This window comes from Homo sapiens, chromosome 1 (assembly GCF_000001405.40).
Source record: "Homo sapiens chromosome 1, GRCh38.p14 Primary Assembly".
Lineage (NCBI taxonomy): Eukaryota > Metazoa > Chordata > Mammalia > Primates > Hominidae > Homo > Homo sapiens.
The window spans coordinates 121,605,727-121,630,633 of NC_000001.11; the positions used below are offsets into that span (position 1 = coordinate 121,605,727).

The 24,907-nt window shown below is 40.2% G+C and overlaps 14 annotated features.

The window, feature by feature from the left end:
* Positions 4,128-4,695: an enhancer, noted in NCBI's record as "OCT4-NANOG-H3K27ac-H3K4me1 hESC enhancer chr1:121351652-121352219 (GRCh37/hg19 assembly coordinates)". NCBI's record gives its function as "activates a minimal SCP1, AML or CMV promoter by ChIP-STARR-seq in naive and primed H9 embryonic stem cells {active_cell/tissue: H9 hESC(naive and primed)}" and the evidence as "EXISTENCE:reporter gene assay evidence [ECO:0000049][PMID:30033119]".
* Positions 4,696-5,262: an enhancer, noted in NCBI's record as "OCT4-NANOG-H3K27ac-H3K4me1 hESC enhancer chr1:121352220-121352786 (GRCh37/hg19 assembly coordinates)". NCBI's record gives its function as "activates a minimal SCP1, AML or CMV promoter by ChIP-STARR-seq in naive and primed H9 embryonic stem cells {active_cell/tissue: H9 hESC(naive and primed)}" and the evidence as "EXISTENCE:reporter gene assay evidence [ECO:0000049][PMID:30033119]".
* Positions 5,263-5,829: an enhancer, noted in NCBI's record as "OCT4-NANOG-H3K27ac-H3K4me1 hESC enhancer chr1:121352787-121353353 (GRCh37/hg19 assembly coordinates)". NCBI's record gives its function as "activates a minimal SCP1, AML or CMV promoter by ChIP-STARR-seq in primed H9 embryonic stem cells {active_cell/tissue: H9 hESC(primed)}" and the evidence as "EXISTENCE:reporter gene assay evidence [ECO:0000049][PMID:30033119]".
* Positions 6,396-6,962: an enhancer, noted in NCBI's record as "OCT4-NANOG-H3K27ac-H3K4me1 hESC enhancer chr1:121353920-121354486 (GRCh37/hg19 assembly coordinates)". NCBI's record gives its function as "activates a minimal SCP1, AML or CMV promoter by ChIP-STARR-seq in naive and primed H9 embryonic stem cells {active_cell/tissue: H9 hESC(naive and primed)}" and the evidence as "EXISTENCE:reporter gene assay evidence [ECO:0000049][PMID:30033119]".
* Positions 6,963-7,529: an enhancer, noted in NCBI's record as "OCT4-NANOG-H3K27ac-H3K4me1 hESC enhancer chr1:121354487-121355053 (GRCh37/hg19 assembly coordinates)". NCBI's record gives its function as "activates a minimal SCP1, AML or CMV promoter by ChIP-STARR-seq in naive and primed H9 embryonic stem cells {active_cell/tissue: H9 hESC(naive and primed)}" and the evidence as "EXISTENCE:reporter gene assay evidence [ECO:0000049][PMID:30033119]".
* Positions 7,530-8,096: an enhancer, noted in NCBI's record as "OCT4-NANOG-H3K27ac-H3K4me1 hESC enhancer chr1:121355054-121355620 (GRCh37/hg19 assembly coordinates)". NCBI's record gives its function as "activates a minimal SCP1, AML or CMV promoter by ChIP-STARR-seq in naive and primed H9 embryonic stem cells {active_cell/tissue: H9 hESC(naive and primed)}" and the evidence as "EXISTENCE:reporter gene assay evidence [ECO:0000049][PMID:30033119]".
* Positions 8,097-8,662: an enhancer, noted in NCBI's record as "OCT4-NANOG-H3K27ac-H3K4me1 hESC enhancer chr1:121355621-121356186 (GRCh37/hg19 assembly coordinates)". NCBI's record gives its function as "activates a minimal SCP1, AML or CMV promoter by ChIP-STARR-seq in naive and primed H9 embryonic stem cells {active_cell/tissue: H9 hESC(naive and primed)}" and the evidence as "EXISTENCE:reporter gene assay evidence [ECO:0000049][PMID:30033119]".
* Positions 8,663-9,230: an enhancer, noted in NCBI's record as "OCT4-NANOG-H3K27ac-H3K4me1 hESC enhancer chr1:121356187-121356754 (GRCh37/hg19 assembly coordinates)". NCBI's record gives its function as "activates a minimal SCP1, AML or CMV promoter by ChIP-STARR-seq in primed H9 embryonic stem cells {active_cell/tissue: H9 hESC(primed)}" and the evidence as "EXISTENCE:reporter gene assay evidence [ECO:0000049][PMID:30033119]".
* Positions 9,231-9,796: an enhancer, noted in NCBI's record as "OCT4-NANOG-H3K27ac-H3K4me1 hESC enhancer chr1:121356755-121357320 (GRCh37/hg19 assembly coordinates)". NCBI's record gives its function as "activates a minimal SCP1, AML or CMV promoter by ChIP-STARR-seq in naive and primed H9 embryonic stem cells {active_cell/tissue: H9 hESC(naive and primed)}" and the evidence as "EXISTENCE:reporter gene assay evidence [ECO:0000049][PMID:30033119]".
* Positions 9,797-10,364: an enhancer, noted in NCBI's record as "OCT4-NANOG-H3K27ac-H3K4me1 hESC enhancer chr1:121357321-121357888 (GRCh37/hg19 assembly coordinates)". NCBI's record gives its function as "activates a minimal SCP1, AML or CMV promoter by ChIP-STARR-seq in naive and primed H9 embryonic stem cells {active_cell/tissue: H9 hESC(naive and primed)}" and the evidence as "EXISTENCE:reporter gene assay evidence [ECO:0000049][PMID:30033119]".
* Positions 10,365-10,930: an enhancer, noted in NCBI's record as "OCT4-NANOG-H3K27ac-H3K4me1 hESC enhancer chr1:121357889-121358454 (GRCh37/hg19 assembly coordinates)". NCBI's record gives its function as "activates a minimal SCP1, AML or CMV promoter by ChIP-STARR-seq in naive and primed H9 embryonic stem cells {active_cell/tissue: H9 hESC(naive and primed)}" and the evidence as "EXISTENCE:reporter gene assay evidence [ECO:0000049][PMID:30033119]".
* Positions 10,931-11,498: an enhancer, noted in NCBI's record as "OCT4-NANOG-H3K27ac-H3K4me1 hESC enhancer chr1:121358455-121359022 (GRCh37/hg19 assembly coordinates)". NCBI's record gives its function as "activates a minimal SCP1, AML or CMV promoter by ChIP-STARR-seq in naive and primed H9 embryonic stem cells {active_cell/tissue: H9 hESC(naive and primed)}" and the evidence as "EXISTENCE:reporter gene assay evidence [ECO:0000049][PMID:30033119]".
* Positions 11,499-12,064: an enhancer, noted in NCBI's record as "OCT4-NANOG-H3K27ac-H3K4me1 hESC enhancer chr1:121359023-121359588 (GRCh37/hg19 assembly coordinates)". NCBI's record gives its function as "activates a minimal SCP1, AML or CMV promoter by ChIP-STARR-seq in naive H9 embryonic stem cells {active_cell/tissue: H9 hESC(naive)}" and the evidence as "EXISTENCE:reporter gene assay evidence [ECO:0000049][PMID:30033119]".
* Positions 12,065-12,630: an enhancer, noted in NCBI's record as "OCT4-NANOG-H3K27ac hESC enhancer chr1:121359589-121360154 (GRCh37/hg19 assembly coordinates)". NCBI's record gives its function as "activates a minimal SCP1, AML or CMV promoter by ChIP-STARR-seq in naive H9 embryonic stem cells {active_cell/tissue: H9 hESC(naive)}" and the evidence as "EXISTENCE:reporter gene assay evidence [ECO:0000049][PMID:30033119]".

Below are 24,907 nucleotides of genomic sequence, written 5' to 3' on the forward strand. Positions count from 1 at the left end.
TTTCATTTTTGGCTATTAATCTCACTCTAAAACATATGAAATTAATCTGTCATTCTTACTTTTCTGTTTTAATCATATCAATTTGCCAAAGTGCTAAATGTTTATGTCTGTGTATCCCTGTGCACACAGAGTAAATGGGCTTCAATTAATATAATGGAATGTTTCAGAAAAGCAATCAGTATCCATAAGATTGAGCTTAAGCTGGAAGCTTCTCAGTCCAAATGACTGCCGTTAAAAGAATACAGGAGCTGAATGTCCTTGCATTTGGCGGACTTAAGAAAGAAGGATGCCAAACGAATGAACTATGACATGATTGAATTTTTGCAAATTCCTGAGAACTGTGGCAAAATGTTTTCCTTTCATAACCTTTGAACTGCTAAGATCATAAATAAGAACTTAGATGTTTTTTTTACCAATTTTCCTTTTACACTACACACAATAGAATGTGGTTGCATTTGGTATGTTATATATGCCAGAACTGTTGCTAACCAGTATCTAGTGAGGGATCGGGCATCAGCCACCATGTTCATTTGCTTTAGCCTTAGAAATACCAAGAACTGGCCTGGTGTGGTGGCTCACGCTTTTAATCCCAGCATTTTGGGAGGCCGAGGTGGGTGGATCACCTGAGGTCAGGAGTTCAAGACCAACCTAGGCAACATAGTGAAACCCTGTCTCTACTAATAATACAAAAATCAGCTGGGCACGGTAGCATGTGCCTGTAGTCCCAGCTACTTGGGAGGCTGAGCCAGGAGAATCGCTTGAGCCCAGGAGGCAGAGAGAGACTCTGTCTCAAAAAAAAAAAAAAAAAAACCAAGAACTTACACTTGAGGAAGGAAGTTAAGTATTTAGAGAGAACATAATTTAGAGCTAGTGTGTTTTCTTAGAATTAGGTCATAGTTGGATTGAGAGAAAAATACCTTTTTATTCTCATGTTTCTTCCACAGGCTTTTCTCTACTCCAAATTCTTGTTTTGTAATTTTGAAAGACAGGGTAGGAATTGTAAAAATGTGAAGAAGAAAATTATTGAATTTTAATGATGTAGAGCTTTATTTTCATGTCATTTAACCTCTTATTCTATAACAATGCACAAGTGTTTTTGCAATAAAGGTATTCTAAAATATTCCTTGCTGACTTTATTGTTTTCAGTTTTTGTTTGTACAAGGCCCTTGACACAACTTAAGATTCAATTAACATTATTAAGACACATATTTTGTATATGTTATTTCATTCAAATCATGGGAATGATGGTAAATGCTATTTAAAAGATTTGTTTCTGCCTTCCACAAATATTTATGGAGGGCTCCCTTTGCTTAGCAATGTGCTGGTTACTGGGAATACATGGATAAATGAGGCAGTTCCTGTCTTTAAAGAATGTACTGGCTAGTCTTGGGTTAAAAGCAACAATTTTCAGTATAATGTGAAAAATGCTATTTTTTTTTGAAATGAATGATCTCTGGTATATAAATAGAAAAGAATATATAAAGGAGATCTTACTTAGGTAGCCTTCTTTAAAATGGAATGAGTTCCTACACGCTTTAGTGCAGAAATGAACACTTTATCAAATTCTCAAGCGTAACAATTTCTAAATTTTTTTCATAGTTCTGGCTCTTGTGTCAGGTCCTTCTGATTTGCCCCTCCAATTTTGTTATTATTATATGGTACTGTTGTCTCAGCTATGTCACCTGGGTTAATTACCACTATTTTGGGCACATCCATACCAAGAGACCAGCTCTCTGAATTTTTGGAAAGGGACTCTACTTTCTCTCTGACTGCTTTACCCTAATATGTAGAATAGTCCCTTTTCCTTACTTCTTCATGACATAGAGAACATTTATGAAGATTTTACCAAAGGCTTGACCACACTAGAAGAAAATACAGCATAGAAAATAATTCACAATTATTACACAGTTGCAGCCCTTTACCGCAGAGTTTTTATCAGCCCTACTTCTTCCTGTTTACACCCAGGTTGCCTCCACCAATGTGAGAACTACCTGTGTCTCACTGAATCTAGGCCAAATGTCCAAAACATTTAGAGAAAATGAAAGATGTTCACACTTCTCAGCTGTGGTGCGCCTCTTGAGGCTCTTGAGGAATTTTCTTCCCCAGGATTGACAATTTGTCCAGTATAATTGACTGTGGGAATATTCATGAAGGAAAGTTCTACTCCCATCCATAACACACTTGTATCCAAACAATCCCACAGTAGTGTGAAATCAGTATATTTCCAGAATTTTGAATTATATAATGTTAGATAGTATCATGTTGAGTCAAAAATTGTCCAGGTCAGGTTGTGGTGTAACAGTCACTGAATTTATTTTCTACTCTTTTCCCATTAAAAAAACTGAACTTAAGGTCTAATATCAGCAAAATTCTTCCTGTTTTCTGTATGTAAAACTCACAGAACAACATAAGAATTCACCAAGTAACACTCTGAAGATTCTTCAGGGGTCCTTTAACAAACTGACCATCCAAATGACGATCAGTGTCTTATCAGTTTACCAGCCTAACTGTATCCTGGATGTCCTGGGTATAGTACATAGAATATATAATTTATGATATTCTAAGAATAGTATAAGAACATTTTGTGGGTAAGTTAATGTATAATCAATTATTGATGCATTTATACAGCCAATAAATATATATTGGACACCTGTACCTGGAACACTTATTGGTCTAAGAGATAGCATGGTAAACAAATTGAAGTGCCTACCCTCATGGAACTTACCTTCTAACAGAGAAGACAGATAAAGTAAAAAATAAAATATATAATATATTAGCTGAGATTAATAAGTACCACAAAAGAAGTAACAGGCAAAGAAAGACTAACTTGTGCTTTTATTTAATATCTGATGACTTGAAGGCATTTCTGGAAAAGATCCAAGCAGAGATCAGACTAAAGTTATGTGAGTATCTGGGGAAATAGCATTACAGTCTGAAGGGCAGAAAGGACAACCTTATGGTGTGGTGTGCTCTAAGGAGCAGCAAGAAGTTTGGCATAGCTGTACTAGAATGAATGAGGATGAAGGTTAGGAAATAACAGAGAAAGCCAAGGGCTGAGTCATGTAGGAACATACAAGCCATGAAGATTTTAAATTTCCCTCTCAATTTTGTGAAAAGTTAGAATTAGGCATCAATGAAATATATATGTATACCAACGCACACATGCGTGTGCACACACACACATATATGGAAGTGAATGAATCTTCTATCTTTCTATGAGTATCTCATTAGAGTACGGGTACAGAAAAATATTTCTACATTTTTTATTGACTGTTTTTTGAAGTAAATATTAAGTGAATAATCAAGGCAATAAAAACTTCAGGAACTAGGGTCAGTAACTGATATTTGGCCAGTTCCAAAGTAAACATTATAACAAATATCTTCTAATTACATGTCTATTAAACCACTACTAAGATGACCTTCATAGAATTTAGATTGCTATCATAGACTTCTAGCTGGTCTACCTGCTTCAACTCTAGACTCCTCCATTCGTCACGCAGCAGTCCAAGGGATCCTTTCATGATCTAAATCAGTTTGTGTCATGCCTGTGCTCAACACCACCCAATGGCTTCTTATGTTGGAGTCTACTCATATTCCTCCAAAGCATAGTAATTATTCTTTTTGGGAAATTGCACCCCTGATGTATTCACAAATAATTAGAATAAAAACTACATTTTCTTATTTATCTCAGAGCTAGAGTTAGCCACAAGATTAAATTCTATTTAATGGAATGTAATCAGAAGTGTAAGCAGAAGTCCATTCAATGGAATGTAAGCAGAAGCACTAGAACATATATATGTATATTCTCGGTCCCTCCCTCTTTCTCTCTCTCTCCCTCTCTCCCTCTCCGTCTCTCTCTGTCTCTTTCCAGGAAAGATACAGATTGATTCGCTTTCATATAAAGACATCAAGATAAAGGCATCCTGTTGAAATTCATAAAATTATCAGGGACCAAAGCTCCTCTCTCTTTCTGTTCAATCATACTCAGACTAGGACTTCCGCCTCAGGAACTGAAATGCCTGAATGAGCTCCAGTCATCAACTCTCTATTTCAACAAACATAAAATGCAAACATCCCAAAGAAGTTTCTGCCAATGCTTCTGTTTAGTTAGGTGACGTTATCCCATTTCCAACGAAATCCTCAGAGAGGTCGAAATATCCACTTGCAGATTCTACAAAAAGTGTGTTTCAAAACTGCTCCATGCAAAGGAATGTTCAGCTCTATGAGTTAAACTCAATCGTCACAAAGTATTTTCTGAGAATGCTTCTGTCCAGTTTTTACAGGAAGCTATTTCCTTTACTACCGTAGGCCCCAAAGCGGTCCAAATCTCCACTTGCAGATTCTACAAAAAGAGTGTCTCAACCTCAACTCACAAAGGAAGGTTCAAATCTGTGAGTTGAATGCCAACATCACAAAGAAGTTTCTGAGAATGCTTCTGTTTAGTTAAGTGAGGTTTATCCCGTTTCCAATGAAATCCTCAGAGAAGTCCAAATATCCACTTGCATATTCTAAAAAAAGTGTGTTTCGAAACTGCTCCATCAAAAGGAATGCTCAGCTCTGTGAGTTAAACTCAATCATCACAAAGAATTTTCTGAGAATGCATCTGTCTTCTTTTTAGATGAAGATATTTCCTTTACTACGATAGGCCTCAAAGAGGTCCAAATCTCCACTTGCAGATTCTACAGAAAGAGTGTTTCAAACCTGAACTATCAGAGGAAGGTTCAACACTGTGAGTTGAATGCAAACATCACGAAGAAGGTTCTGAGAATGCTTCTGTTTAGATAGGTGAGGTTTCTCCCGTTTCCAACGAAATCCTCAGAGAGGTCCAAATATCCACTTGCAGATTCTACAAAAAGTGTGTTTTGAAACTGCTCCATCCAAAGGAATGTTCAGCTCTGTGAGTTGAACTCAATCGTCACAAATTGTTTCCTGAGAATGCTACTGTCTTGTTTTTATATGTAGTTATTTGCTCTGCTGCCGTAGGCCTGAAAGCGGTCCAAATCTCCCCTTTCAGATTCTACCAAAAGTGTGTTTCCAAACGGCTCTATCAAAGGGAATGTTCAACTCTGTGACTTGAATGCAATCATCAAAAAAGTAGTTTCTGAGAATGCTTCCATCTAGCTTTTATGAGAAGATATTTCCTTTCCCACCACAGGCCTCGAAGCCCTCCAAATGTCCATTTGCAGATTCTAGAAAGAGAGGGTTTCAAGGCTGCTCTATCAAAAAGAAAGTACAACTCTGTGAGTTGAATGCAAACACCACAAAGAAGTTTCTGAGAATACTTCAGTGTAGCTTTTATGGGAAGATTATCCCTTTTCCATCGAAATCTTCAAAGAGGTCCAAATATCCGCTTGCAGATTCCACCGAAAGAGTGATTCCAAACTGCTGTATCAAAAGGAATCTTCAACTCCGTGAGTTCAATGCAATCATCACAAAGAAGTTTCTGACAATGCTTCTCCCTAGTTTTTATGTGAAGATATTTCCTTTTCCACCACAGGCCTGAAAGCGCTGTAAATGTCCACTTGCAGACTCTACGAAAAGAATGCTTCAAAACTGCTCTATGAAAAGCAATGTTAAACTCTGGGAGTTGACCACAAGCCTCACAAAGAAGTTTCTGAGAATGCTTCTGTTTATTTTTTATGTGAAGATATTCCCGTTTCCAAAGAAATCTTCACAGAGGTCCACATATCCACTTGCAGATTCTACAAAAAGAGAGTTTCAAAACTGCTGTATCAAAAGGAATGTTCAACTCTGCGAGTTGAATGCAATCATCACAAAGCAGTTTCTGAGAAGGCTTCCGTCTAGATTTTACGTGAAGATATACCCGTTTCGAATGAAGGCCACAAAGTGCTCCAAATATCCACATGCAGATCCTACAAAAAGAGTGTTACAAACGTGAACTAACAAAGGAAGGTTCAACTCTGGGCTTTGAATGCAAACATTACAAAGAAGTTTCTGGGAAAGCTTCTGTTTAGTTAGATGATGTTATCCCGTTTCCAACAAAATCCTCAGAGAGGTCCAAATATCCACTTGCAGATTCTACAAAAAGTGTGTTTCAAAACTGCTCCATCCAAAGGCACGTTCAGATCTGTGAGTTAAATTCAATCATCACAAAGTATTTTCTGAGAATGCTTCTGTCCAGTTTTTACATGAAGCTATTTCCTTTACTACCGTAGGCCTCCAAGCAGTCCAAATCTCCACTTGCAGATTCTACAAAAAGAGTGTTTCAACCAGAACTCAGAAAGGAAGGTTCAACCCTGTGAGTGGAATGCCAACATCACAAAGAATTTTCTGAGAATGCTTCTGTCTTGTTTTTAGATGAAGTTATTTCCTTTACCACGATAGGCCTCAAAGAGGTCCAAATCTCCACTTGCAGATTCTACAGAAAGAGTGTTTCAAACCTGAATTATCAGAGAAAGGATCAACACTGTGAGTTGAATGCAAACATCACGAAGAAGGTTCTGAGAATGCTTCTGTTTAGATAGGTGAGGTTTATCCCGTTTCCAACGATATCCTCAGAGAGGTCCAAATATCCACTTGCAGATTCTACAAAAACTGTGTTTCAAAACTGCTCCATCCAAAGGAATGTTCACCTCTGTGAGTTGAACTCAATCGTCACAAATTGTTTCCTGAGAATGCTACTGTCTAGTTTTCATATGTGCAGTTATATCCTCTACTGCCATAGGCCTCAAAGCGGTCCAAATCTCCCCTTGCAGATTCTACCAAAAGTGTGTTTCCAAACGGCTCTATCAAAGGGAATGTTAAACTCTGTGACTTGAATGCAATCATCACAAAGTAGTTTCTGAGAATGCTTCCATCTAGCTTTTATGAGAAGATATTTCCTTTTCCACCACAGGCTTCGAAGCCCTCCAAATGTCCACTTACAGATTCTAGAAAGAGAGGGTTTCATAGCTGCTCTATGAAAAGGAAAGTACAACTCTGTGAGTTGAATGCAAACATCACAAAGAAGTTTCTGAGAATGCTTCCGTTTAGCTTTTATGGGAAGATTATCCTTTTTCCATCGAAATCTTCAAAGAGGTCCAAATATCCACTTGCAGATTCCACCGAAAGAGTGATTCCAAACTGCTGTATCAAAAGGAATCTTCAGCTCCGTGAGTTGAATGCAATCAATCCAAAGAAGTTTCTGACAATGCTTCTCTCTAGATTTTATGTGAAGATATCAGGCCTGAAAGCGCTCCAAATGTCCACTTGCAGACTCTACGAAAGGAATGTTTCAAAACTGCTCTCTGAAAAGCAATGTTAAACTCTGGGAGTTGAACACAAGCCTCACAAAGAAGTTTCTGAGAATGCTTCGGTTTACTTTTTATGTGAAGATATTCCCGTTTCCAAAGAAATCTTCACAGAGGTCCACATATCCACTTGCGGATTCTACAAAAAGAGAGTTTCAAAACTGCTCTATCAAAAGGAATGTTCAACTCTGTGAGTTGCATGCAATCATCACAGAGAAGTTTCTGAGAAGGCTTCTGTCTAGATTTTATGTGAAGATATACCCGTTTCGAACGAAGGCCACAAAGTGCTCCAAATATCCACTTGCAGATCCTTCAAAAAGAGTGTTTCAAAAGTGAACTATCAAAGGAAGGTTCAACTCTGGGCTTTGAATGCAAACATCACAAAGAAGTTTCTGCGAAAGCTTCTGTTTAGTTAGGTGACGTTATCCCGTTTCCAACGAAATCCTCAGAGAGGTCCAAATATCCACTTGCAGATTCTACAAAAAGTGTGTTTCAAAACTGCTCCATCCAAAGGCATGTTGTGCTCTGTGAGTTAAATTCAATCATCAGAAAGAATTTTCTAAGAATGCTTCTGTCCAGTTTTTAGATGAAGCTATTTCCTTTACTACCGTAGGACTCCAAGTGGTCCAAATCTCCACTTGCAGATTCTACAAAAAGAGAGTTTCAACCTGAACTCACAAGAGAAGGTTCAAACCTGTGAGTTGAATGACAACATCACAAAGAAGTTTCTGAGAATGCTTCTGTCTTGTTTTACGATGAAGTTATTTCCCTTACTACGATAGGCCTCAAAGAGGTCCAAATCTCCACTTGCAGATTCTACAGAAAGTGTGTTTCAAACCTGAACTATCAGAGCAATGTTCAACACTGTGAGTTGAATGCAAACATCAGGAAAAAGGTTCTGAGAATGCTTCTGTTTAGATAAGAGAGGTTTATCCCGTTTCCAACGAAATCCTCAGAGAGGTCCAAATATCCACTTGCAGATTCTACAAAAAGTGTGTTTCGAAACTGCTCCATCCAAAGGAATGTTCAGCAAGGTGAGTTGAACTTAATGGTCACAAAGTGTTTCCTGAGAATGCTACTGTCTTGTTTTTATATGTAGTTATTTCCTCTGCTGCCGTAGGCCAGAAAGCGGTCCCAATCTCCCCTTTCAGATTCTACCAAAAGTGTGTTTGCAAACGGCTCTATCAAACGGAATGTTCAACTCTGTGACTTGAATGCAATCATCACAAAGTAGGTTCTGAGAATTCTTCCATGTAGCTTTTATGAAAAGATATTTCCTTTTCGACCACATGCCTCGAAGCCCTCCAAATGTCCACTTGCAGATTCTAGAAAGAGAGGGTTTCAAAGCTGCTCTATCAAAAGGAAAGTACAACTCTGTGAGTTGAATGCAAACATCACAAAGAAGTTTCTGAGAATGCTTTCGTTTAGCTTTTCGGAAGATTATCCCTTTTCCATCGAAATCTTCAAAGAGGTCCAAATATCCGCCTGCAGATTCCACCGAAAGAGTGTTTCCAAACTGCTGTATCAAAAGGAATCTTCAACTCCGTGAGTTGAATGCAATCATCACAAAGAAGTTTCTGACAATGCTTCTCTCTAGTTTTTATGTGAAGATATTTCCTTTGCCACAACAGGCCTGAAAGCGCTCTAAATGTCCACTTGCAGACATTACAAAAAGAATGTTTCAAAACTGCTCTATGAAGAGCAATGTTAAACTCTGGGAGTTGAACACAAGCCTCACAAAGAAGTTTCTGAGAATGCTTCTGTTTACTTTTTATGTGAAGATATTCTTGTTTCCAAGGAAATCTTCACAGAGGTCCACATATCCACTTGCAGATTCTACACAAAGAGAGTTTCAAAACTGTTCTATCAAAAGGAATGTTCAACACTGTGAGTTGCATGCAATCATCACAGAGAAGTTTCTGAGAAGGCTTCTGTCTAGATTTTATGTGAAGATATAACCGTTTCGAATGAAGGCCACAAAGGGCTCCAAATATCCACTTGCAGATCCTGCAAAAAGAGTGTTTCAAACGTGAACTATCAAAGGAAGGTTCAACTCTGGGCTTTGAATGCAAACATCACAAAGTAGTTTCTGCGAAACCTTCTGTTTAGTTAGGGGACGTTATCCCGTTTCCAACGAAATCCTCAGAGAGGTCCAAATATCCATTTGCAGATTCTACAAAAAGTGTGTTTCAAAACTGCTCCATCCAAAGGAATGTTCAGCTCTGTGAGTTGAACTCAATCGTCACAAAGTGTTTCCTGGGAATGCTACTGTCTAGTTTTTATATGTAGTTATTTCCTCTATGGCCGTACGCCTCAAACGGTCCAAATCTCCCCTTGCAGATTCTACCAAAAGTGTGTTTCCAAACGGCTCTATCAAACGGAGTGTTCAACTCTGTGACGTGAATGCAATCATCACAATGTAGTTTCTGAGAATGCTTCCATCTAGCTTTTATGGGAAGATATTTCCTTTTCCACCACAGGCCGCGAAGCCCTCCAAATGTCCACTTGCAGGTTCTAGAAAGAGAGGGTTTCAAAGCGGCTCTATCTAAAGGAAAGTACAACTCTGTGAGTTGAATGCAAACATCACAAAGAAGTTTCTGAGAATGTTTCCGTTTAGCTTTTATGGGAAGATTATCCCTTTTCCATCGAAATCTTCAAAGAGGTCCAAATATCAGCTTGCAGATTCCACCGAAAGAGTGATTCCAAACTGCTGTATCAAAACGAATGTTCAACTCAGTGAGGTGAATGCAATCATCACAAAGAAGTTTCTGACAATGCTTCTCTCTAGTTTTTATGTGAAGATATTTCCTTTTCCACCGCAGGCCTGAAAGCGCTCAAAATGTCCACTTGCAGACCCTACGAAAGGAATGTTTCAAAACTGCTCTATGAAAAGCAATGTTCTACTCTGGGAGTTGAACACAAGCCTCACAAAGGAGTTTCTGAAAATGCTTCTGTTTACTTTTTACGTGAAGATATTCCCGTTTGCAAAGAAGTCTTCACAGAGTTCCACCTATCCATTTGCAGATGCTAGAAAAAGAGAGTTTCAAAACTGCTCTATCAAAAGGACTGTTCAACTCTGTGAGTTGAATGCAATCATCACAGAGAAGTTTCTGAGAAGGCTTCTGTCTAGATTTTATGTGAAGATATACCCGTTTCGAACGAAGACCACAAAGTGCTCCAAATATCCACTTGCAGGTCCTCCAACAAGAGTGTTTCAAACGTGAACTATCAAAGGAAGGTTCAACTCTGGACTTTGAATGCAAACGTCAGAAAGATGTTTCTGCGAAAGCTTCTGTTTAGTTAGGTGACGTTATCCCGTTTCCAAAGAAATCCTCAGAGAGGTCCAAATATCCACCTGCAGAGTCTACAAAAAGTGTGTTTCAAAACTGCTCCACCCAAAGGAATGCTCAGCTCTGTGAGTTAAACTCAATCATCCCAAAGTATTTTCTGAGAATGCTTCTGTCCAGTTTTTACATGAAGCTGTTTCCTTTACTACCGTAATCCTCAAAGCATTCCAAATCTCCACTTGCAGATACTACGAAAAGAGCGATTCAACCTGAACTCACAAGGGAAGGTTCAACTCTGTCAGTTGAATACCAACATCACAAAGAAGTTCTCAGAATGCTTCTCTTCAGTTATGTGAGGTTTATACCGTTTCCAACGAAATTCTCAGAGATGTCCAAATATCCACTTGCATAATCTACAAAAAGTGTGTTTTGAAAATGCTCCATCAAAAGATATGCTCAGCTCTGTGAGTTAAACTCAATCATCACAAAGAATTTTCTGAGAATGCTTCTGTCTAGTTTTTAGATGAAGTTCTCTCCTTTACTACGATAGGCCTCAAAGTGGTCCAAATCTCCACTTGCAGATTCTGCAGAAGGAGTGTTTCAAACCTGAACTATGAGAGAAAGGTTCAACACTGTGAGTTGAATGCAAGCATCACGAAGGAGGTTCTGAGAATGCTTCTGTTTAGATAGGTGAGTTTTCTACCTTATCCAATGAAATCCTCAGAGAGGTCCAAATATCCACTTGCAGATTCTACAAAAAGTGTGTTTTGAAACTGCTCCATCCAAAGGAATGTTCAGCTCTGTGAGTTGATCTCAATCGTCAAAAAGTGTTTCCTGGGAATGCTACTGTCTAGTTTTTATGTGCAGTTATATCCTCTACTGCCATAGGCCTCACAGCGGTCCAAATCTCCCCTTTCAGATTCTACCAAAAGTGTGTTTCCAAATGGCTCTATCAAAGGGAATGTTCAACTCTGTGACTTGAATGCAATCATCACAAAGCAGTTTCTGAGAATGCTTCCATGTAGCTTTTATGAGAAGATATTTCCTTTTCCACCCCAGGCCTCGAAGCCCTCCAAATGTCCCCTTGCAGATGCCAGAAAGAGAGGGTTTCAAAGCTGCTCTATCAAAAGGAAAGTACAACTCTGTGAGTTGAATGCAAACATCAAAAAGAAGTTCCTGAGCATGCTTCCGTTTAGCTTTTATGGAAAGATTATCCCTTTTCCATCGAAATGTTCAAAGAGGTCCGCATATCCGCTTGCAGATTCCACCGAAAGTGTGTTTCCAAACTGCTGTATCAAAAGGAATCCTCAACTCCGTGAGTTCCATGCAATCATCACAAAGAAGTTTCTGACAATGCTTCTCTCTAGTTTTTATGTGAAGATATTTCCTTTTCCACCACAGGCCTGAAAGCGCTCCAAATGTCCACTTGGAGAATCTACGAAAAGAATGTTTCAAAACTGCTCTATGAAAAGCAATGTTATACTCTGGGAGTTGAACACAAGCCTCCCAAAGTAGTTTCCGAGAAGGCTTCTGTTTACATTTTACGTGAGGATATTCCCGTTTCCAAAGAAATCTTCACAGAGTTCCACGTATCCATTTGCAGATGCTAGAAAAAGAGAGTTTCAAAACTGCTCTGTCAAAAGAAATGTTCAAATCTGTGAGTTGAATGCAATCATCACAGAGAAGTTTCTGAGAAGGCTTCTGTCTAGATTTTATGTGAAGATATACCTGTTTCGAACGAAGGCCACAAAGTGCTCCAAATGTCCACTTGCAGGTCCTCCAAAAAGAGTGTTTCAAACGTGAACTATCAAAGGAAGGTTCAACTCTGGACTTTCAATGCAAACGTCAGAAAGATGTTTCTGCGAAAGCTTCTGTTTAGTTAGGTGACGTTATCCCGTTTCCAACGAAATCCTCAGAGAGGTCCAAATACCCACCTGCAGAGTCTACAAAAAGTGTGTTTCAAAACTGCTCCACCCAAAGGAATGTTCAGCTCTGTGAGTTAAACTCAATCATCACAAAGTATTTTCTGAGAATGCTTCTGTCCAGTTTTTACATGAAGCTGTTTCCTTTACTACCGTAGGCCTCAAAGCGTTCCAAATCTCCACTTGCAGATACTACGAAAAGAGCGATTCAGCCTGAACTCACAAGGGAAGGTTCAACTCTGTCATTTGAATGCCAACATTACAAAGAAGTTCTGAGAATGTTTCTCCTCAGCTATGTGAGGTTTATCCCGTTTCCAACGAAATTCTCAGAGAAGTCCAAATATCCACTTGGATATTCTACAAAAAGTGTGTTTTGAAAATGCTCCATCAAAAGATATGCTGAGCTCTGTGTGTTAAACTCAATCATCACAAAGAATTTTCTGAGAATGCTTCTGTCTTGTTTTTAGATGAAGTTCTTTCCTTTACTACGATAGGCCTCAAAGAGGTCCAAATCTCCACTTGCAGATTCTGCAGAAGGAGTGTTTAAAACCTGAACTATCAGAGAAAGGTTGAACACTGTGAGTTGAATGCAAGCATCACGAAGAAGGTTCTGAGAATGCTTCTGTTTATATAGGTGAGTTTTCTCCCGTATCCATCAAAAGATATGCTCAGCTGTGTGAGTTAAACTCAATCATCACAAAGAATTTTCTCAGAATGCTTCTGTCTTGTTTTTAGATGAAGTTCTTTCCTTTACTACGATAGGCCTCAAAGAGGTCCAAATCTCCACTTGCAGATTCTGCCGAAGGAGTGTTTAAAACCTGAACTATCAGAGAAAGGTTCAACACTGTGAGTTGAATGCAAGCATCACGAAGAAGGTTCTGAGAATGCTTCTGTTTACATAGGTGTGTTTTCTCCCGTATCCATCAAAAGATATGCTCAGCTCTGTGAGTTAAACCCAATCATCAGAAAGAATTTTCTGAGAATGCTTCTGTCTTGTTTTTAGATGAAGTTCTTTCATTTACTACGATAGGCCTCAAAGAGGTCCAAATCTCGACTTGCAGATTCTGCAGAAGGAGTGTTTAAAACCTGAACTATCAGAGAAAGCTTCAACACTGTGAGTTGAATGCAAGCATCAGGAAGAAGGTTCTGAGAATGCTTCTGTTTACATACGTGAGTTTTCTCCCGTATCCATCAAAAGATATGCTCAGCTCTGTGAGTTAAACTCAATCATCACAAAGAATTTTCTGAGAATACTTCTGTCTTGTTTTTAGATGAAGTTCTTTCCTTTACTACGATAGGCCTCAAAGAGGTCCAAATCTCCACTTGCAGATTCTGCAGAAGGAGTGTTTCAAACCTGAACTATCAGAGAAAGGTTCAACACTGTGAGTTGAATGCAAGCATCACGAAGAAGGTTCTGAGAATGCTTCTGTTTACATAGGTGAGTTTTCTCCCGTATCCAATGAAATCCTCAGAGCGGTCCAAATCTCCACTTGCAGATTCTACAAAAAGTGTGTTTTGAAACTGCTCCATCCAAAGGAATGTTCAGCTCTGTGAATTGAACTCAATCGTCACAAAGTGTTTCCTGGGAATGCTCCTGTCTCCTTTTTATGTGCAGTTATATCCTCTACTGCCATAGGCCTCAAAGCGGTCCAAATCTCCCCTTTCAGATTCTACCAAAAGTGTGTTTCCAAACGGCTCCATCAAAGGGAATGTTCAACTCGGTGACTTGAATGCAATCATCACAAACCAGTTTCTGAGAATGCTTCCATGTAGCTTTTATGAGAAGATATTTCCTTTTCCACCCCAGGCCTCGAAGCCCTCCAAATGTCCCCTTGCAGATGCTAGAAAGAGAGGGTTTCAAAGCTGCTCTATCAAAAGGAAAGTACAACTCTGTGAGTTGAATGCAAACTTCACAAAGAAGTTCCTGAGCATGCTTCCGTTTAGCTTTTACGGGAAGATTATCCCTTTTCCATCGAAATGTTCAAAGAGGTCCACATATCCGCTTGCAGATTCCACCGAAAGAGTGTTTCCAAACAGCTGCATCAAAAGGAATCCTCAGCTCCGTGAGTTGAATGCAATCATCACCAAGAGGTTTCTGACAATGCTTCTCTCTAGTTTTTATGTGAAGATATTTCCTTTTCCAACACAGGCCTGAAAGCGTTCCAAATGTCCACCTGGATGCTCTACGAAAAGAATGTTTCAAAACTGCTCTATGAAAAGCAATGTTATACTCTGGGAGTTGAACACAAGCCCCACAAAGGAGTTTCTGAGAATGCTTCTGTTTACTTTTTACGTGAGGATATTCCCGTTTCCAAAGAAGTCTTCACAGAGTTCCACCTATCCATTTGCAGATGCTAGCAAAAGAGAGTTTCAAAATTGCTCTATCAAAAGGAATGTTCAACTCTGTGAGTTGCATGCAATCATCACAGAGAAGTTTCTGAGAAGGCTTCTGTCTAGATTTTATGTGAAGATATAGCCGTTTCGAACGAAGGCCACAAAGTGCTCCAAATATCCACTTGCATGTCCTCCAAAAAGAGTGTTTCAAACGTGAACTACCAAAGGAAGGCTCAACTCTGGACTTTGAATGCAAACGTCAGAAAGATTTTTCTGCGAAAGCTTCTGTTTAGTTAGGTGACGTTATCCCGTTTCCAACGAAATCCTCAGAGAGGTCCAAATATCCACCTGCAGAGTCTACAAAAAGTGTGTTTCAAAACTGCTCCACCCAAAGGAATGTTCAGCTCTGTGAGTTAAACTCAATCATCCCAAAGTATTTTCTGAGAATGCTTCTGTCCAGTTTTTACATGAAGCTGTTTCCTTTACTACCGTAGGCCTCAAAGCGTTCCAAATCTCCACTTGCAGATACTACGAAAAGAGCGATTCAACCTGAACTCACAAGGGAAGGTTCAACTCTGTCAGTTGAATGCCAACATCACAAAGAATTCTGAGAATGTTTCTCTTCAGTTATGTGAGGTTTATCCCGTTTCCAACGAAATTCTCAGAGAAGTCCAAATATCCACTTGGAGATTCTACAAAAAGTGTGTTTTGAAAATGCTCCATCAAAAGATATGCTCAGCTCTGTTTGTTAAACTCAATCATCACAAAGAATTTTCTGAGAATGCTTCTGTCTTGTTTTTAGATGAGGTTACATCCTTTACTACGATAGGCCTCAAAGAGGTTCAAATCTCCACTTGCAGATTCTGCAGAAGGAGTGTTTAAAACCTGAACTATCAGAGAAAGGTTGAACACTGTGAGTTGAAAGCAAGCATCACGAAGAAGGTTCTGAGAATGCTTCTGTTTATATAGGTGAGTTTTCTCCCGTATCCATCAAAAGATATGCTCAGCTCTGTGAGTTAAACTCAATCATCACAAAGAATTTTCTGAGAATGCTTCTGTCTTGTTTTTAGATGAAGTTCTTTCCTTTACTACGATAGGCCTCAAAGAGGTCCAAATCTCCACTTGCAGATTCTGCAGAAGGAGTGTTTCAAACCTGAACTATCAGAGAAAGGTTCAACACTGTGAGTTGAATGCAAGCATCACGAAGAAGGTTCTGAGAATGCTTCTGTTTACATAGGTGAGTTTTCTCCCGTATCCAATGAAATCCTCAGAGCGGTCCAAATCTCCACTTGCAGATTCTACAAAAAGTGTGTTTTGAAACTGCTCCATCCAAAGGAATGTTCAGCTCTGTGAATTGAACTCAATCGTCACAAAGTGTTTCCTGGGAATGCTCCTGTCTCCTTTTTATGTGCAGTTATATCCTCTACTGCCATAGGCCTCAAAGCGGTCCAAATCTCCCCTTTCAGATTCTACCAAAAGTGTGTTTCCAAACGGCTCCATCAAAGGGAATGTTCAACTCGGTGACTTGAATGCAATCATCCCAAAGCAGCTTCTGAGAATGCTTCCATGTAGCTTTGATGAGAAGATATTTCCTTTTCCACCCCAGGCCTCGAAGCCCTCCAAATGTCCCCTTGCAGATGCTAGAAAGAGGGTGTTTCAAAGCTGCTCTATCAAAAGGAAAGTACAACGCTGTGAGTTGAATGCAAACATCACAAGGAAGTTCCTGAGCATGCTTCCGTTTAGCTTTTACGGGAAGATTATCCCTTTTCCATCGAAATGTTCAAAGAGGTCCACATATCCGCTTGCAGATTCCACCGAAAGAGTGTTTCCAAACTGCTGCATCAAAAGGAATCCTCAGCTCCGTGAGTTGAATGCAATCATCACCAAGAAGTTTCTGACAATGCTTCTCTCTAGTTTTTATGTGAAGATATTTCCTTTTCCACCACAGGCCTGAAAGCGCTCCAAATGTCCACTTGGAGGCTCTACGAAAAGAATGTTTCAAAACTGCTCTATGAAAAGCAATGTTATACTCTGGGAGTTGAACACAAGCCTCACAAAGGAGTTTCTGAGAATGCTTCTGTTTACTTTTTACGTGAGGATATTCCCGTCTCCAAAGAAGTCTTCACAGAGTTACACCTATCCATTTGCAGATGCCAGCAAAACTAGAGAGTTTCAAAACTGCTCTATCAAAAGGAATGTTCAACTCTGTGAGTTGCGTGCAATCATCACAGAGAAGTTTCTGAGAAGGCTTCTGTCTAGATTTTATGTGAAGATATAGCCGTTTCGAACGAAGGCCACAAAGTGCTCCAAATATCCACTTGCAGGTCCTCCAAAAAGAGTGTTTCAAACGTGAACTACCAAAGGAAGGCTCAACTCGGGACTTTGAAGACCAACGTCAGAAGGATGTTTCTGCGGAAGCTTCTGTTTAGTTAGGTGACGTTATCCCGTTTCCAACGAAATCCTCAGAGAGGTCCAAATATCCACCTGCAGAGTCTACAAAAAGTGTGTTTCAAAACTGCTCAACCCAAAGGAAGGTTCAGCTCTGTGAGTTGAACTCAATCATCCCAAAGTATTTTCTGAGAAGGCTTCTGTCCAGTTTTTACATGAAGCTGTTTCCTTTACTACCGTAGGCTTCAAAGCGTTCCAAACCTCCACTTGCAGATAGTACGGAAAGAGCGTTTCAACCTGAACTCACAAGGGAAGGTTCAACTCTGTCAGTTGAATGCCAACGTCACCAAGAACTTCTGAGAATGTTCCTCTTCAGTTATGTGAGGTTTATCCCGTTTCCAACGAAATTCTCAGAGAAGTCCCAAAATCCACTTGCATATTCTACAAAAGGTGTGTTTTCAAAATGCTCCATCAAAAGATATGCTCAGCTCTGTGTGTTAAACTCAATCATCACAAAGTATTTTCTGAGAATGCTTCTGTCTTGTTTTTAGATGAGGTTATATCCTTTACTACGATAGGCCTCAAAGAGGTCCAAATCTCCACTTGCAGATTCTGCAGAAGGAGTGTTTAAAACCTGAACTATCAGAGAAAGTTTGAACACTGTGAGTTGAATGCAAGCATCACGAAGAAGGTTCTGAGAATGCTTCTGTTTACATAGGTGAGTTTTCTCCCGTATCCAATGAAATCCTCAGAGCGGTCCAAATCTCCACTTGCAGATTCTACAAAAAGTGTGTTTTGAAACTGCTCCATCCAAAGGAATGTTCAGCTCTGTGAATTGAACTCAATCGTCACAAAGTGTTTCCTGGGAATGCTCCTGTCTCGTTTTTATGTGCAGTTATATCCTCTACTGCCATAGGCCTCAAAGCGGTTCAAATCTCCCCTTTAAGATTCTACCAAAAGTGTGTTTCCAAACGGAACCATCAAAGGGAATGTTCAACTCGGTGACTTGAATGCAATCATCACAAACCAGTTTCTGAGAATGCTTCCATGTAGCTTTGATGAGAAGACATTTCCTTTTCCACCCCAGGCCTCGAAGCCCTCCAAATGTCCCCTTGCAGATGCTAGAAAGAGAGGGTTTCAAAGCTGCTCTATCAAAAGGAAAGTACAACTCTGTGAGTTGAATGCAAACATCACAAACAAGTTCCTGAGCATGCTTCCGTTTAGCTTTTATGGGAAGATTATCCCTTTTCCATCGAAATGTTCAAAGAGGTCCACATATCCGCTTGCAGATTCCACCGAAAGAGTGTTTCCAAACTGCTGCATCAAAAGGAATCCTCAGCTCCGTGAGTTGAATGCAATCATCACCAAGAAGTTTCTGACAATGCTTCTCTCTAGTTTTTATGTGAAGATATTTCCTTTTCCACCGCAGGCCTGAAAGCGCTCCAAATGTCCACTTGGAGGCTCTACGAAAAGAATGTTTCAAAACTGCTCTATGAAAAGCAATGTTATACTCTGGGAGTTGAACACAAGCCTCACAAAGGAGTTTCTGAGAATGCTTCTGTTTACTTTTTACGTGAGGATATTCCCGTTTCCAAAGAAGTCTTCACAGAGTTCCACCTATCCATTTGCAGATGCTAGCAAAAGACAGTTTCAAAACTGCTCCATCAAAAGGAATGTTCAACTCTGTGAGTTGCATGCAATCATCACAGAGAAGTTTCTGAGAAGGCTTCTGTCTAGATTTTATGTGAAGATATGGCCGTTTCGAACGAAGGCCACAAAGCGCTCCCAATATCCACTTGCAGGTCCTCCAAAAAGAGTGTTTCAAACGTGAACTACCAAAGGAAGGCTCAACTCTGGACTTTGAATGCCAACGTCAGAAGGATGTTTCTGCGAAAGCTTGTGTTTAGTTAGGTGACGTTATCCCGTTTCCAACGAAATCCTCAGAGAGGTCCAAATATCCACCTGCAGAGTCTACAAAAAGTGTGTTTCAAAACTGCTCCACCCAAAGGAATGTTCAGCTCTGTGAGTTAAACTCAATCATCCCAAAGTATTTTCTGAGAATGCTTCTGTCCAGTTTTTACATGAAGCTGTTTCCTTTACTACCGTAGGCCTCAAAGCGTTCCAAATCTCCACTTGCAGATACTACGAAAAGAGCGATTCAACCTGAACTCACAAGGGAAGGTTCAACTCTGTCAGTTGAATGCCAACATCACAAAGAAGTTCTGAGAATGTTTCTCTTCAGTTATGTGAGGTTTATCCCGTTTCCCACGAAATTCTCAGAGATGTCCAAATATCCACTTGGATATTCTACAAAAAGTGTGTTTTGAAAATGCTCCATCAAAAGATATGCTCAGCTCTGTATGTTAAACTCAATCGTCACAAAGAATTCTCTGAGAATGCTTCTGTTTTGTTTTTAGATGAGGTTACATCCTTTACTACGATAGGCCTCAAAGAGGTCCAAATCTCCACTTGCAGATTCTGCAGAAGGAGTGTTTAAAACCTGAACTATCAGAGAAAGTTTGAACACTGTGAGTTGAATGCAAGCATCACGAAGAAGGTTCTGAGAATGCTTCTGTTTATACAGGTGAGTTTTCTCCCGTATCCATCAAAAGATATGCTCAGCTCTGTGAGTTAAACTCAATCATCACAAAGAATTTTCTGAGAATGCTTCTGTCTTGTTTTTAGATGAAGTTCTTTCCTTTACTACGATAGGCCTCAAAGAGGTCCAAATCTCCACTTGCAGATTCTGCAGAAGGAGTGTTTCAAACCTGAACTATCAGAGAAAGGTTCAACACTGTGAGTTGAATGCAAGCATCACGAAGAAGGTTCTGAGAATGCTTCTGTTTACATAGGTGAGTTTTCTCCCGTATCCAACGAAATCCTCAGAGCGGTCCAAATCTCCACTTGCAGATTCTACACAAAGTGTGTTTGGAAACTGCTCCATCCAAAGGAATGTTCAGCTCTGTGAATTGAACTCAATCGTCACAAAGTGTTTCCTGGGAATGCTCCTGTCTCGTTTTTATGTGCAGTTATATCCTCTACTGCAATAGGCCCCAAAACGGTCCAAATCTCCCCTTTCAGTTTCTACCAAAAGTGTGTTTCCAAACGGCTCCATCAAAGGGAATGTTGACCTCGGTGACTTGAATGCAATCATCACAAAGCAGCTTCTGAGAATGCTTCCATGTAGCTTTGATGAGAAGATATTTCCTTTTCCACCCCAGGCCTCGAAGCCCTCCAAATGTCCCCTTGCAGATGCTAGAAAGAGAGGGTTTCAAAGCTGCTCTATCAAAAGGAAAGTACAACTCTGTGAGTTGAATGCAAACATCACAAGGAAGTTCCTGAGCATGCTTCCGTTTAGCTTTTACGGGAAGATTATCCCTTTTCCATCAAAATGTTCAAAGAGGTCCACATATCCGCTTGCAGATTCCACCGAAAGAGTGTTTCCAAACTGCTGCATCAAAAGGAATCCTCAGCTCCGTGAGTTGAATGCAATCATCACCAAGAGGTTTCTGACAATGCTTCTCTCTAGTTTTTATGTGAAGATATTTCCTTTTCCAACACAGGCCTGAAAGCGTTCCAAATGTCCACCTGGACGCTCTACGAAAAGAATGTTTCAAAACTGCTCTATGAAAAGCAATGTTATACTCTGGGAGTTGAACACAAGCCTCACAAAGGAGTTTCTGAGAATGCTTCTGTTTACTTTTTACGTGAGGATATTCCCGTTTCCAAAGAAGTCTTCACAGAGTTCCACCTATCCATTTGCAGATGCTAGCAAAAGACAGTTTCAAAACTGCTCTATCAAAAGGAATGTTCAACTCTGTGAGTTGCATGCAATCATCACAGAGAAGTTTCTGAGAAGGCTTCTGTCTAGATTTTATGTGAAGATATAGCCGTTTCGAACGAAGGCCACAAAGTGCTCCAAATATCCACTTGCAGGTCCTCCAAAAAGAGTGTTTCAAACGTGAACTACCAAAGGAAGGCTCAACTCTGGACTTTGAATGCCAACGTCAGAAAGATGTTTTTGCGAAAGCTTCTGTTTAGTTAGGTGACGTTATCCCGTTTCCAACGAAATCCTCAGAGAGGTCCAAATATCCACCTGCAGAGTCTACAAAAAGTGTGTTTCAAAACTGCTCCACCCAAAGGAATGTTCAGCTCTGTGAGTTGAACTCAATCATCCCAAAGTATTTTCTGAGAATGCTTCTGTCCAGTTTTTACATGAAGCTGTTTCCTTTACTACCGTAGGCCTCAAAGCGTTCCAAATCTCCACTTGCAGATAGTACGAAAAGAGCGTTTCAACCTGAACTCACAAGGGAAGGTTCAACTTTGTCAGTTGAATGCCAACATCACAAAGAAGTTCTGAGAATGTTCCTCTTCAGTTATGTGAGGTTTATCCCGTTTCCAACGAAATTCTCAGAGAAGTCCCAAAATCCACTTGCATATTCTACAAAAGGTGTGTTTTGAAAATGCGCCATCAAAAGATATGCTCAGCTCTGTGAGTTAAACTCAATCATCGCAAAGAATTTTCTGAGAATGCTTCTGTCTTGTTTTTAGATGAAGTTCTTTCCTTTACTACGATAGGCCTCAAAGAGGTCCAAATCTCCACTTGCAGATTCTGCAGGAGTGTTTCAAACCTGAACTGTCAGAGAAAGGTTCAACACTGTGAGTTGAATGCAAGCTTCACGAAGAAGGTTCTGAGAATGCTTCTGTTTACGTAGGTGACTTTTCTCCCAAATCCAACGAAATCCTCAGAGCGGTCCAAATCTCCACTTGCAGATTCTACACAAAGTGTGTTTGGAAACTGCTCCATCCAAAGGAATGTTCAGCTCTGTGAGTTGTACTCAATCGTCACAAAGTGTTTCCTGGGAATGCTCCTGTCCCGTTTTTATGTGCAGTTATATCCTCTACTGCCATAGGCCTCAATGCGGTCCAAATCTCCCCTTTCAGATCCTACCAAAAGTATGTTTCCAAACGGCTCCATCAAAGGGAATGTTCAACTCGGTGACTTGAATGCAATCATCACAAAGCAGCTTCTGAGAATGCTTCCATGTAGCTTTGATGACAAGATATTTCCTTTTCCACCCCAGGCCTCAAAGCCCTCCAAATGTCCCCTTGCAGATGCTAGAAAGAGAGGGTTTCAAAGCTGCTCTATCAAAAGGAAAGTACAACTCTGTGAGTTGAATGCAAACATCACAAGGAAGTTCCTGAGCATGCTTCCGTTTAGCTTTTATGGGAAGATTATCCCTTTTCCATCGAAATGTTCAAAGAGGTCCACATATCCGCTTGCAGATTCCACCGAAAGAGTGTTTCCAAACTGCTGCATCAAAAGGAATCCTCAGCTCCGTGAGTTGAATGCAATCATCACCAAGAGGTTTCTGACCATGCTTCTCTCTAGTTTTTATGTGAAGATATTTTCTTTTCCAACACAGGCCTGAAAGCGCTCCAAATGTCCACTTGGAGGCTCTACGAAAAGAAAGTTTCAAAACTGCTCTATGAAAAGAAATGTTATACTCTGGGAGTTGAACACAAGCCTCACAAAGGAGTTTCTGAGAATGCTTCTGTTTACTTTTTACGTGAGGATATTCCCGTTTCCAAAGAAATCTTCACAGAGTTCCACCTATCCATTTGCAGATGCCAGCAAAACTAGAGAGTTTCAAAACTGCTCTATCAAAAGGAATGTTCAACTCTGTGAGTTGCGTGCAATCATCACAGAGGAGTTTCTGAGAAGGCTTCTGTCTAGATTTTATGTGAAGATATAGTCGTTTCGAACGAAGGCCACAAAGTGCTCCAAATATCCACTTGCAGGTCCTCCAAAAAGAGTGTTTCAAACGTGAACTACCAAAGGAAGGCTCAACTCGGGACTTTGAAAGCCAACTTCAGAAGGATGTTTCTGCGAAAGCTTCTGTTTAGTTATGTGACGTTATACCGTTTCCAACGAAATCCTCAGAGAGGTCCAAATATCCACCTGCAGAGTCTACAAAAAGTGTGTTTCAAAACTGCTCCACCCAAAGGAATGTTCAGCTCTGTGAGTTGAACTCAATCATCCCAAAGTATTTTCTGAGAAGGCTTCTGTCCAGTTTTTACATGAAGCTGTTTCCTTTACTACCGTAGGCCTCAAAGCGTTCCAAACCTCCACTTGCAGATACTACGAAAAGAGCGTTTCAACCTGAACTCACAAGGGAAGGTTCAACTCTGTCAGTTGAATGCCAACGTCACCAAGAAGTTCTGAGAATGTTCCTCTTCAGTTATGGGAGGTTTATCCCGATTCCAACGAAATTCTCAGAGAAGTCCCAAAATCCACTTGCATATTCTACAAAAGGTGTGTTTGGAAAATGCGCCATCAAAAGATATGCTCAGGTCTGTGTGTTAAACTCAATCATCACAAATAATTTTCTGAGAATGCTTCTGTCTTGTTTTTAGATGAAGTTCTTTCCTTTACTACGATAGGCAACAAAGAGGTCCAAATCTCCACTTGCAGATTCTGCAGAAGGAGTGTTTCAAACCAGAACTGTCAGAGAAAGATTCAACACTGTGAGTTGAATGCAAGCATCACGAAGAAGGTTCTGAGAATGCTTCTGTTTACGTAGGTGAGTTTTCTCCCGTATCCAACGAAATCCTCAGAGCGGTCCAAATCTCCACTTGCAGATTCTACACAAAGTGTGTTTGGAAACTGCTCTATCCAAAGGAATGTTCAGCTCTGTGAGTTGAAGTCAATCATCCCAAAGTACTTTCTGAGAATGCTTCTGTCCAGTTTTTACATGAAGCTGTTTCCTTTACTACCGTAGGCGTCAAAGCGTTCCAAACCTCCACTTGCAGATACTACGAAAAGAGCGTTTCAACCTGAACTCACAAGGGAAGGTTCAACTCTGTCAGTTGAATGCCAACGTCACCAAGAAGTTCTGAGAATGTTCCTCTTCAGTTATGTGAGGTTTATCCCGATTCCAACGAAATTCTCAGAGAAGTCCCAAAATCCACTTGCATATTCTAAAAAAGGTGTGTCTTGAAAATGCGCCATCAAAAGATATGCTCAGCTCTGTGAGTTAAACTCAATCATCGCAAAGAATTTTCTGAGAATGCTTCTGTCTTGTTTTTAGATGAAGTTCTTTCCTTTACTACGATAGGCCTCAAAGAGGTCCAAATCTCCACTTGCAGATTCTGCAGAAGGAGTGTTTCAAACCTGAACTGTCAGAGAAAGGTTCAACACTGTGAGTTGAATGCAAGCATCACGAAGAAGGTTCTGAGAATGCTTCTGTTTACGTACTTGAGTTTTCTGCCGTATCCAACGAAATCCTCAGAGCGGTCCAAATCTCCACTTGCAGATTCTACACAAAGTGTGTTTGGAAACTGCTCCATCCAAAGGAATGTTCAGCTCTGTGAGTTGAACTCAAGCGTCACAAAGTGTTTCCTGGGAATGCTCCTGTGTCGCTTTTATGTGCAGTTATATCCTCTACTGCCATAGGCCTCAAAGCGGTCCAAATCTCCCCTTTCAGATCCTACCAAAAGTGTGTTTCCAAACGGCTCCATCAAAGGGAATGTTCAACTCGGTGACTTGAATGCAATCATCCCAAAGCAGCTTCTGAGAATGCTTCCATGTAGCTTTGATGAGAAGATATTTCCTTTTCCACCCCAGGCCTCGAAGCCCTCCAAATGTCCCCTTGCAGATGCTAGAAAGAGGGGGTTTCAAAGCTGCTCTATCAAAAGGAAAGTACAACGCTGTGAGTTGAATGCA